Source organism: Homo sapiens, chromosome 2, assembly GCF_000001405.40.
Source record: "Homo sapiens chromosome 2, GRCh38.p14 Primary Assembly".
NCBI classification, from domain to species: Eukaryota; Metazoa; Chordata; class Mammalia; order Primates; family Hominidae; genus Homo; species Homo sapiens.
Window position 1 is genome coordinate 36,348,394 of NC_000002.12, and position 12,084 is coordinate 36,360,477.

General features: G+C 45.7%; 1 protein-coding gene and 1 long non-coding RNA gene across 13 annotated transcripts in view; one reads left to right on the forward strand and one right to left on the reverse strand.

Moving 5' to 3' along the window:
- Positions 1-6,355: 6,355 nt before the first annotated feature.
- On the reverse strand, positions 6,356-7,177 carry CRIM1-DT (CRIM1 divergent transcript). The gene is made up of 2 exons (NR_037631.1): positions 6,695-7,177; positions 6,356-6,588 (listed from the first exon to the last, which is right to left on the reverse strand). It is a non-coding gene; the product is annotated as a CRIM1 divergent transcript (long non-coding RNA).
- Positions 7,178-7,384: 207 nt separating this feature from the next.
- The window catches only part of CRIM1 (cysteine rich transmembrane BMP regulator 1), a 195,358-nt gene continuing 190,658 nt past the window's right edge, over positions 7,385-12,084 (forward strand). For 7 of the 12 annotated variants that reach the window (NM_016441.3, XM_017004259.2, XM_047444642.1 and 4 more), the window contains exon 1: positions 7,385-8,230. In NM_016441.3, coding sequence (NP_057525.1) covers positions 7,900-8,230 — 331 coding nt within the window. In that variant the 5' untranslated portion in view covers positions 7,385-7,899. Of the gene's footprint in view, positions 8,231-10,510; positions 10,634-12,084 lie in introns of all 12 variants that reach the window. The other 5 variants (XR_007076383.1, XM_011532898.4, XM_011532899.4 and 2 more) reach the window with 1 other exon arrangement.

Consider the following 12,084-nt stretch of genomic DNA (forward strand, 5'->3'; position numbering starts at 1 on the left):
CTAGCTGTGTGTCAGAAATGAAGAGAAGGAACAGAGATACTGGTGAGCACCACCATTTCCCACCTGAAAATAGGTAATGAATTTTCATTTGAATGACACAGCAGTTGCATGATACATAGGACATGAGCACAAAATATCAGTATTCTAAAGAACATCATAATACCAGGATTTACATTCAAATGAGTGATGTCCATTTGCCAGCAGTTACCTGGAAAAGCTGTCTGCTTTTTCCATGGATACCATTAATGCCTACTTTTATTTAAAAACTCTTCTTTTGCTATTTTCTCTAGAACATGTTTTGGTTCTGTATAATACTCTCAACAATGGTAAATCTTCCTTTGAGGGTGAATTTGATAAAGATTATAAGAAGTAAATTAGAGCCAGTTTGGTGAATGAAGATAATCTGCTTCACTTATTATACGTTGGGTCAGATAGGACAAACAATGTGTCTTATTTCTCAAGGGACTACACAAGGCAATTCCAAAACAAACATTACACAAATGTGTATGTCAATGATGTCATTGTTGAAATAAATTGACCTGTATTTCTTAACACAGATGCCACACAGATTTGGGGAAGAATTTCTACAATTTGGATGTATGACTCTTCAGGTTATTGAAAGCACATAGTAGAATAGGCAGTGGGGTAGAAAGAGAAGACAGAGAGGTGGGTAGCATTGCAACAGATGGAAATTCCTCCTCTTCACTATAATGCATGACCGGGTCCTCTCTTCTCATTTTCTTATACTTGTTTTTTCCAGCTTTCCAAAAAATGTCTGTAAGCGCAGGATAAATTTCCTTAACCTGTGGAGGGTCTCGATAATTTATTCCCTTTTATTAGTTCAGTTTTATAAAAAACACTCCTTCCTGGGAGAAATTTTTAATTGAGTACATAACACTTTCTTTAAAAACCACACAGCAAATAATTTGCCAGGTTACATGATTTGGCAATTTGTAAGGTTAAAACATTTGGTGATCCACAGCTAAACTCTCCTAATGTTGAACATTTTAAAGGATGGAATGAAATAATAAATGTGAAAGGAATTTTTTATGTTAAAAAAAATTTTAAAGCTTTACAATGTAAGGTGCTTTTAAAGCAAGAAGAAATGGTTTTTAACCTGAAGGGCCTCTACACTGGAGAGATGGGAACTTGTATTAAGTGTTTGAGGAAATTTGCGTGAATAAGTTTCTGGAAGGCAATCTGGCCATGCATGTCAAAGTGGGCATAACTTTTGACCCACAAACAATAATTTCACTTTAGGTATTTGCCAAGGAAAATAATTGGACAAGTGTTTGAAGATTTGGCTTAAAGGAAATATATTGCAGCTTTGTTTATAATAGTGAAAATGTAAAGCACACAAAACCCCTAAACTTATGTTAATATGGAATCAGTTAAATATAATGCAATATGTACATTCAGTGGAATAACAATCAATGGTAAAAAGGATGCAGTTATTGATTCTAAAGATCAATATGCCATGTATATGTGAAAGTTAAAGCCAATTTTGAGGTAGATACATATCCCATTTTATATTTTATACTGTATGGGGAAAATAAACCTTCAAGGATGTGTCACAAATGTTATCAGTGGTTTTATCTCACCTGAGATAAAACCATTATAGGTGATGTTTTTCTTTCTTCTTTTTTTCTTTTTTACTTGTCTGTCTTTTCTCTTTTTTCCCCCAGTGAGCATGTATTTGTTAAAAAACATACATTAGAAGTAATATTGCATAGAGTGGATTCTGTCCCCATACTGCCTAGGTTTGAATTCCAATTTTTCCTTTACTGGAAAAGTAAGAGACAGTGTGTCACTCTGTCACCCAGCCTGGAAGGCAGTGGTGTAATTTCGGCTCACCTCAGCCTCAACTTCACAAGCTCATGCAATCCTGCCACCTTAGCCTCCTGAATACAGGCACATCCCACCATGCCTGGCTAGTTCATTATTATTATTATTTTGTAGATATGGGTTCTCCTTATGTTGCCTAAGCTGGTCTCAAACTCCTGGGCTCCAGCGATCCACCCAGTTTGGCCTCCCAAAGTGCTGAGATTGCAGGCATGAGCCACCGCACCCACCCCAATTTTTCCTTTTAAATAGGTGTAAATGTACCTGTAAAATGCAGTACCTACCTCATCAGCTTTTATGGAGGATTAAATGTGGTAATATTGTAAGGTAATTAAAAAATATGCACATGGCAAACGTTACATAAATATTTGTTATTCAGTAGTTAGGAAAGCAATGATCTTATTTCCATTTTGAGAAAACGCTGATCAGTATTTAAACTTCTCAAAGAAGACAAGATATTGTCATAGATGTTAGCAATTTTAAATGAGGTCCACAAAAAACAACAAAACTGAAAAGAAAAGCAGCTCACCATTACCCAACTTACTGAATTGAGGTAGTTAAACACACAGGCCCTTAAGGCAGAATAGGACTGAGTTCTAAGCTTAATATCCATACACATAGCTCTGAGACCTTGACAAGCCACACAACCTCCTATAACTCAGATTCCTCACCTGTAAAAAATGAAGACAACGTAAGGCACTAGAGATAATAGAAACCATTGGTCTTACAGCGCTCTTCCGTAGATTACTTAAAATAACCTATATGAAGCACTTAGCATGTTGACTAGCAATTAATAAGATCTTTATTAGTGTCAGCTATTACTATTATCATTACCAATTACTGCTCTTTAAAATAAGTCAGAGACCAAAATGAGTCTGAGAAAATATCACAGAGGCTAAAACCCCAAGATGAGACAGACTGTCAAAACAAGGCCAACAGAAGATCCTAAGAAAGAAAAAAAAAAAAGCAAATATCTGATCCAGCAGATGTTGCACAGCAATGGATGCTAAGATAACAGAGAGCAGGGATTCCAGCTCAAGCATAAAACTTGAGGAGACACTCAATTAGAAGGACTCTAAAAATAACAATAGAAAAGGAGAGCAATCATTTTATCCACACGATACCCTGTATGGTTGGTATTCTTGTCTCTGTTTTACAGAGAAGACAGATTCAGAAAGGATAAATACCTTGTTTAAACTTGTACACAGAGAGAGAGAGAGAGAGAGAGAGAGAGAGTGTGTGTGTGTGTGTGTGTGTGTCAGGATCCTAGGCCAAACATCAAAGAGAACCTGTGTTCTGTGCAGATGTCTTGTAAACCTTGTGGTAGTTCTGCAGCAGCTATCATTCACAGGCAGAGTAAATAAGAACCCACTTAGCAAAAATAAGGTATTACGTGGTGATAATAGAGTTCAATTTCAGATTAAGAGTCCAACATCCAGATGGTTGAGCCTCCAAACTAGGGTCTGTCTATATCACTGCAGTGCCAAGCCTAGATTAAGTGAGAACCCATATATAGGTGATCCCAGCTGAGGAGACCAGAGAGATGGCCTAAGAGGGTAAAACGGGCCAGACCTGCTACCCTGGTTTATTCGTACCACTTTCTAATATGTATGCAACGTTTTCATAACACAATGAGGTTTCTTCTCTTGTGCAACTCAATTCCAAGAGTATGTGAGTCAAACTCAAAGGCAACTTCTACATTCTTCTTTTCATTTCAGGAAGAGAAAATACAAAGTGCAACTCAATTCCAAGAGTATGTGAGCCAAACTCAAAGGCAACTTCTACATTTTTCTTTTCATTTCAGGAAGAGAAAATACAGAGTGTGACTATAGGTGGACTAGACACTGTATCGGAAAGGCGGGGTCTAATACTAACATTCTGTCTATTGCCCTCTCATTTCCACTTTCTGCTTAGGCCAACAAATGGGCACTTTGATTTTCGACATTTTCAACAATTTATTAATCCCCAGGATGGCCAATAGAGGGCAGACGATCTCTTCTTCTAGACCTCCATCAGAAATACTTCGTAATTCCTGGTTCGTTGCAGACCTGTTCCCCAACCCCTCCCCCACCCCCCCACCACCCCCACCCCAAACTTCGATGACTCCCTCCTGCCCATACCATCCCTTTCAAGTACTGATTTTGAGGTATTTACTAAAACCAAGAGAGAAGGGCTGCAGACAATAATATTCAAATATCATTTTGACTGTAATTCTTCACTCTCCCTTTTTCAACTCATTCATGCATGCATTTTTATAAATCCTGCCCTCTCCAATAAGCTGACAAGCTAATTGGGTTCAGAGTTATTTAAATAACTATAATGTAACATGATAAATGCTACAAGCAGAGGTACTTACAAATGCTGTAGAACAGATAAAGAAGCTCAAGAAGGCTTCTCAGAAAGGGAGGCCTTTCATGTGTGGCTCTAATTCTTAACATTCGTTCATGACTTTCAGGGTCCATTCAATTTCAGGGTAATTCTTCCTAGTCCACTTTCACCCGTGACACCTGATTGTCATCATGTTGGGCTCACCCAAACTCTTTCTGTAACCATAGTCTGGTCTTTGAAGATAAGAAAATACTTTTGTATTCGAGCCTCAGTATCATTGCCTCAGCTTCTCACTACCTCATTATCATCCCTCCTGGATCCCAGAGAAGAAAGAGCTGTTTCATAACTGAGCTCCTGATTCACACACTGGTTTCAGAAAAGCTGCCAGGACCTTGCAGGTTTCTCATTCGCCACTAGTCACTGGCTTCAAGGAATCCTATTTTCTCTATTGCTTCTATGACTATTAATTTTATGCCAAAGGGCATGTGTAATGTAACTTGATTTTTTTTTTCTTTTTGAGCTGATACAATCATCTTCATCTTAAAGAATCTCCCTAGTCCTTTCTAAACCTGACTTGAATTCCTGTGAGAAGTCAACCTTTCTCATGTTGTATCTGTCCATCTACCTTCCAGGTGGTTCTACTTCTGAAGTCCCAGGAACAATGAATAGTCATCTCCAAATTATCCTTTGCCTGTGCTCATCTGTAGCTTTCCTTAATCCTTAATATATCCCCTTAAAAATAAATAGAAGCTAAACTTTGACAATGCTTATTACCTCCTTCTTTCCTAACCACAGTAGCTTTCTCACTTCTGCCTTTTTCTCATCACCTGACCTTGGCTTTTCCTGCAGGTCCTACAATGTTATCTGCTACATTTTAATGTCTTTATACTTGCATTTGAACAGAAATACAGATAACCTCCTCTGCAAGAGTGGGAGGGACCTTTTAACACAGAGCAATGATGACAGTTTGTTGGCAAATCCCACACTGAAGTGCTGGTGCCTTGTTCGGTGACAAGAAAGAACAATGTTTAACAATGTGTGTTTTATTTTTCTTCAGTTTTTTTGTTTGTTTGTTTTTGAGACAGAGTCTTGCTCTGTCGCCCAGGCTGGAGTGCAATGACGCAATCTCGGCTCACTGCAACCTTCACCTCCTGGGTTCAAGTGATTCTCCTGCCTCAGCCTCCTGAGTAGCTGGGATTACAGGCATGCGCTACCACACCCGGCTAATTTTTGTATTTTTGATAGAGACAGGGTTTCACCATGTTTCACCATGTTGGCCAGGCTGGTCTCGAATTCCTTACCTCAAGTGATCTGCCCACCTTGGCCTCCCAAAGTGCTGGGATTATAGGCATGAGCCACCACGCCCAGTCTCTTCGGTTTTTCTAATAGAAAACCTAGCATATTTTAAACGATTTTGCCACTTAACACTTATTATGGACCCACAGGGTATGAGGGCCTTTGGAGATCATCTAATCGGACTTCCCACCCAACTACAGGAATCATTTCATTGCAACAACTCTTTAAACCCGTCTAGAAAATGCAATGCTCTCTCCCCTTTTCCACGGTTGAACATCTTCCTCATGGCCCTATAATAATCAATGATAATTAATGAGCCTCTTCCTCTCCTTGGACAAAGAAATATGATAGGAGAAATGTTTAGTTTGCTGATGCCCATCATGGGGGAATAGTCCACTGGTAACTCTGGCTTTTGGGTTCAGGATTAGACAGAGTGGTTAAACTAAAATATTTATCGTAAGTATGAATTTGTTCCACAAACATAACATTTCAAAGGTAGCTTTGTTTCCTCTTTCCTTGCACTGCCAGCTATTAACTTTCGGTTCATTAGTCACGATTTTCAGAATCCACTTGGCTGCCACCTTCCTGCAGCCAGACCATCTTGGATCAGAGGGTGGGCCAGCCATTCCCACGTCACACCTGCCACGGGATCGATTTTTTCCCCCATTGACCACAGTCACTTTTTGTCAATTAATTAATGTTATTCACCTGGTACCCATCTTGTGAATGGTAGGTCACTACGGAGCGGATTACTACTTCATATCCCATCAATGACAGAGCCATCATTACGAAAACCTTTTCTGACAACCACTGAAGAGAAACCATCTCCACACCGTGCATTTTGCATCACTTCCGTTGCTTCTTTACCTGATTTATCACAAAGACTATGTACCACACATCTTCTTTATTAATGCATTGACAATCAGTGAAGACAATGAAAACCCACCACTTTTGTCCGTGAACTGAGAAAGAAAATGGCAATGTCATATGGCATTAATGATGCATGAGATCTATGGGTGTAGTGTCACGTCTAGGCGTGTAGTAATCCAGTCTTCGGCCTTACTCCAGGGAGAAAGATTCAGCTTTGTTACTTTCCAGTCACTCTCTCCCGTAACACAGCACCTTGGCACAGAAAGCAGAGCGACAAAACCCAGAATGAGGACAGTTAAAATTCAACTCAAGCTACAGCCATCCCAACGGTCCTCCCCAGCTCCCGCGGAATATTTACCAAGACCGTTTAAAGCACTTAATTAATTCACTTCAGCTTCGCTGGAGAGGTCTCAGGGTTCCCGAGACTCCATTACATAATATCTTTCACAAAGTCTATTCCCAGCTCGAATGGAAGATGGATTCTCATCCAGTGTGCGGAGGTTCCATGCCTTTGCTTCCCTTTCCCGGAGTTCGATCCGGCGATACCCTCCCGAGGCTGCAGCCATCGCCCCGGCCCCGAGCTTCTGGGGTACCCGCCACTCTTCGAACTCCAATCTGGCCCCGAAGGTGCAGCCGCCTCGCCCTCCTGGCTCCCAGGCCGGCCGCTGCGGCCACGGTGCCAGCGAGCGCCCGGGACACCGCGACTCTCGCTGCTCGCTGGGTGCGCCCCAAGCCCATCCGCAGCGCACCCGCGGCGCCGGGGCCAGAGCCGCAGCTCGGTGGCACGGCCGGCTCGGTGCGCCGGGCTCGGGGAGGAGGAGATCGGGAAGAGGTGGAGGCGTGTGAGGGAGGGAGGAAGGGCCCGGCCGCCCGAGAGGGGGAGGGGGAGGCGGAGGGGGCCGGCCGGGCCGGGGAGGGGGGGCAGCCAATGAGCGGCGCGCGGCGCGTGGGGGTGGGGGGAAGGTCTGGGGGAGGAGGTAGGATGGGGGAGGGCGCAGCCCGAGCGGCTGAGGCTCCAGCCATAAACAAGCGCCCGGAGGAGCGGCGCAGGAGTGAGGCGAGCGGGGCGCGCGGAGCGGACGCCGCGGATCTTGTGCTGCGCCACCGCGCCCACTCGGCAGCTCGGGAGGCGGGGACCGGCCCGGAGGCTGCGCCGCTGCGGGGCCGGCCGACTCGGAGGAGGAGAGGGAGGAGGCGCCGCCGGCCCGGGCTGGAGCCGAGCGCAGCAGCCACCGCCGCCGCCGCGCCAGAAGTTTGGGTTGAACCGGAGCTGCCGGGAGGAAACTTTTTTCTTTTTTCCCCCTCCCTCCCGGGAGGAGGAGGAGGAGGAGGAGGGGAAGCTGCCGCCGGCGCCAAGGCTCGTGGGCTCGGGGTCGGCGCGGCCCGCAGAAGGGGCGGGGGCCTCGCCCCGCGAGGGGAGGCGCGCCCCGGGGGCCCCGAGAGGGGCGGTGAGGACCGCGGGCTGCTGGTGCGGCGGCGGCGGCGCGTGTGCCCCGCGCAGGGGAGGGCGCCCGCCCCGCTCCCGGCCCGGCTGCGAGGAGGAGGCGGCGGCGGCGCAGGAGGATGTACTTGGTGGCGGGGGACAGGGGGTTGGCCGGCTGCGGGCACCTCCTGGTCTCGCTGCTGGGGCTGCTGCTGCTGCTGGCGCGCTCCGGCACCCGGGCGCTGGTCTGCCTGCCCTGTGACGAGTCCAAGTGCGAGGAGCCCAGGAACTGCCCGGGGAGCATCGTGCAGGGCGTCTGCGGCTGCTGCTACACGTGCGCCAGCCAGAGGAACGAGAGCTGCGGCGGCACCTTCGGGATTTACGGAACCTGCGACCGGGGGCTGCGTTGTGTCATCCGCCCCCCGCTCAATGGCGACTCCCTCACCGAGTACGAAGCGGGCGTTTGCGAAGGTACGGCCGCCCGCTGCGGGCCCCCTCCCACCTGGCCTGCGCCGCCCCCTCGGCGCTGGTTGTGCCGAACAAAGTTTGGGCGAGACTTTCTGGAGGAAAGAGGGCTCTGCGGGAAGAGGGGCGGCCGCCGCCCCCAGGAGAGTGCCCCCGCGGCCCTGCGTTCCCTCTCCTTGTTCCCCCCGACGCTTAGGCAGTCGCGGGCGAGGTTGGGTATGGTGGGTGGGGGCGAGCGAGTGGAGGATCGCCCCTGTCCCCGCGCAGACGCGCACACGTGTGGCCGTTCCTGCTGGGACTGGGTGGCCCGGCCTTGCTCCCCGAGGTGGGGGCGCCGCGGGCGGGGGGCACTGCAGATTCTGCCGCGCGCGAGCCCCTCGGGGAGCCCGGCCCTACCGCCCTCCCCGCACTGGCGCAGTGTGGCACCGTGAGCCGCACGCCGGCCGCGAAAGTCCTTTTTCTGTTGGCGGAGGAGACGTGTCTCCAGCTCGCACTCCCCGAGTGACTCTTATTATTTTTTCCTTGAGCTCTTCCTTCACCCCTTCCTCCTCCTCCGCAGATAAATCAGTTTCAGCCGCGGAATATGTCAGCCCAGGGGAAGTTACACACGGTGGTTACTCATTTATTTGCCCATTGTAAACGGTCAAAGGCTTTCTCTCCTGAAAGGAAAGGGGGGTGGGGGTTGCACCTGGGAGTAAAAAGTTGTTGCTATTAGTGGCTGCTTTTTAATATCAGATACCCGCGTGTTTCCTGTCGTGTTGCCGGTTCCTCCTTTTTGTTTGTTTGACAGCGGGGATTGTTCTGCTGGCTTCTCCAGCACGCATTGTGCTCCGCGGTGTCGAGATTGACGGTGGGAGAAACAGATTAGATTAGTGGAGTCTTTCTCGTTGGGGAGCCAATGTTAGTGCGTGTTGGCTTTAATCCCTGCCCGCTTGCGTCGGCCTTCAGGGTGCCTGGTCTGGTTTGGGGTCTAGAGCGAGGCAGTGAGTTATTTTGATGTGGCTAACGGGGGCACGGTTCGGTAAGCATCAGTTAAAAGTGGGATCCCTGCTCTGGCTGACGTTGGGCTGATGATGCTGTTCCGGGGGCATCCTGGCGAGTGAGCAGAGCGCACGCAGCAGCCTCGTTTCTGGGGAGGCGGCGAGGAGGGACAGGCGCCCTCTGCCCGGCGTGCCTTCCTCACTACTCACAGCCAGCACCGTCCAGGGAACGGTTTATTCCGAAGCATCTTTGTGTGTGTTTGTTTAGTATGCTGGGATACTGAAAAAGGAGGTGACAGCCTTAAGGATAACAATGGACCTATTAAAAGGCTTCAGTGCTGTGATTCTCTCTAAATACGCACAGACACACACATAGGTACTTATTTATACCTGAATAGTTTGGGGTTTGGACAGTTCAGGAAAATAGGGGAGGGTTTTCTGGTTTGGAAGCTAGTGGGCAGTGATGAGTGAAGGGAACTCTTCTCAGAGGGGAGGGACTTGCTCTTGCTTTGCTGCACACGTAAGACATTGGGTTAGAAGAGATCATTTGCCTGAAGTACAAAAAAGCCTCTCACCTGGTATTGTCCCCTTTTATAACTTGTTTTTATGCCTTACCTCAAGAAAAATGGCCATGAGATTAACTTCTGATACCATTGTATGTGTTTTGACTTTGGGAATTCTGAATGACCTAGACTAAAAGATGCATCTTTGAACCCTGCCGCTTCAAGTGTATAACTTAATCCGGCCTCTCGTAAATCTGAAAAGAACAGGCGACATGAAACACAGTTAAATGCAGTGGAAACTGCTGTGTTCCAAGAAGGACTTTTGCAGGTTCTGAAGATTCTAACCCTTGTTTTGTTTCTTCTTAGTCTGTTTCTGGTGAAGGAAGTGCTCAGGGAACATTTACAGTAATCGAGTGTTGTGGCAGCAATATCCCATGTCACAGTATAGAGTTATTTTGGCAGTTTCGTGAGCCTTTCATTCCTCTGAAATGATGTGATCCCTCATAGCTTCCTTTTTTCTGGCAACACCCTGTGTGCTTGGTATTCGCTTTGAAATGCTTGGAAGGGTTTGTTGACATGATTATATCTCAATTAGTTTCTCTAGAAACACTTTTTATTTTACAGGCCTGTTTTCAACTATCAATATTGTGTGTCCAGGGCACTTCCTTTAAAAAAAAAAATACTGAAAACAGCAGTCAACTTGCATTCTAAATCTGTGAAACCAAAGTAAGGACAGTGTTACCTGGCATGATATAATGGTTGGATTTAGACAGATATTTTCAATCGTGTGTTTACAATTTCAGTGTTTTCACTTAACGACAAGATTTATGGAAAGCATGGGATAAGTGATACCCCAACCGCCCCCCGCCTGCCATTTTTAAAAAAAGAATTAGAGGAGCCTTCAGATGTCAGCAGTTACCTAGAAGGTATTGATTATCTCTTGTTTTTCTGTGAGTTTACAAGAAATTTCGGAATGGCCAGTGTTTCCCTCAGTTTCCATTTTTATTCAGAAATTCACGTGGTGAAGCATGGTTATCATAACTAACATGAATAGGAATCAATATATTTTATTCATGTTGAAGTCTCTTTTGCTGCAATTTTTGCACTAAAATGACCCCTACTGGTTGTATCTGTTAATGAAAACTCTTGAAAACTTATTTAATTGGCTACGTTGTAAAAACATATTGCATGTTATAGAAATATTATCATGACTAATCTCCCTGCTTTCGATGACATAATTTAAATACAAATTATATTCTCTGTTTGCCAACTTGCAGTAATTTTTAGCAGTGTTTACTCTCATACTGGCTTTGTAGGGGAAAAAAATTACGTTTTTAACTGCAGTTCACAAAATGAGTTAGATAAATCATGGGCAGAAATGGGCCCCTTTCAGCTTGTGGCTCACAGCCTTAGGTTTTTAAGGCATGCTGGTCTAGTTGGCTCTCAGTAAAAGTACATTGAACAAACGGAAGAACAATCCTATCCATAGAAAGAATGCTGAAGGAAAAAAAATATTTTCTGAATGATTAAATAATGTGATGAGTTGTGTCCTGTGCACCATGTGAGATGTGCACTTGGATTTCTTTTCCGCATTGTTTAGATTGTTATTAAATAAATTCTAATTGAATTATTCCTTTTGTGGTGGGGGCTGGGGGTGGTAAGTGCATTTGAAAAAATGAGCATGGAGCCTGATACCTAAAAGTTTTTCCTACTTTCTGTCAGTCTAGAAAGTGCTTTTTGGAACTTAGGAGAGTGCAGGTCTTTTTCCTCTTTCCATTCGTCTGCTAAGACCTCCTGTTGCTCTTTGCAGCATCCTAACTGGCCTGTTTTCTTGGCCAGGCTGCCTGCCTCCAGGAAAATCACCTAGAAGCCAGAGAAACAAGTGTGGATCCTGAACCCCTGAGAAAGAAATCTGGATGGAAGACATCTTTGGAGGATCGAAGGCAGAGTTTAGAAAAATTAATGAAGTGAGATTTTCTAGAAAGAAGATTTTGATTGGACAGTGAGAATTATGTTTTGAGCTAAGGGGTTGAGAGCCATTTCTTCTCCCATGTGTCATAGCGCTTTATGCTTCTATAAGGAGTGAGGCAAGGTGAGAGAGCATGACCAGCCTCTCTGGGCAGTTAAAGGGCAGATGGTGACTTGCTTTGGCAGTTTGTACAGACAGAGTGATGAGGAACCAGGTGGAGACTACTTGAGTCACTGTTCCGAGGACTCTGTTGTATTAGATTCAGGTGATAGCTAGATCAGATAAGCACCAATTTTTTTCTTGGTGACTATTTACTCAGTAGCTTCATATTTTGGAACTTAGCATTCCATCTTTTTCACCATTGCTATCTAAAAACGACCTCTTTCAGAACGCAATCCTCCTTTTATT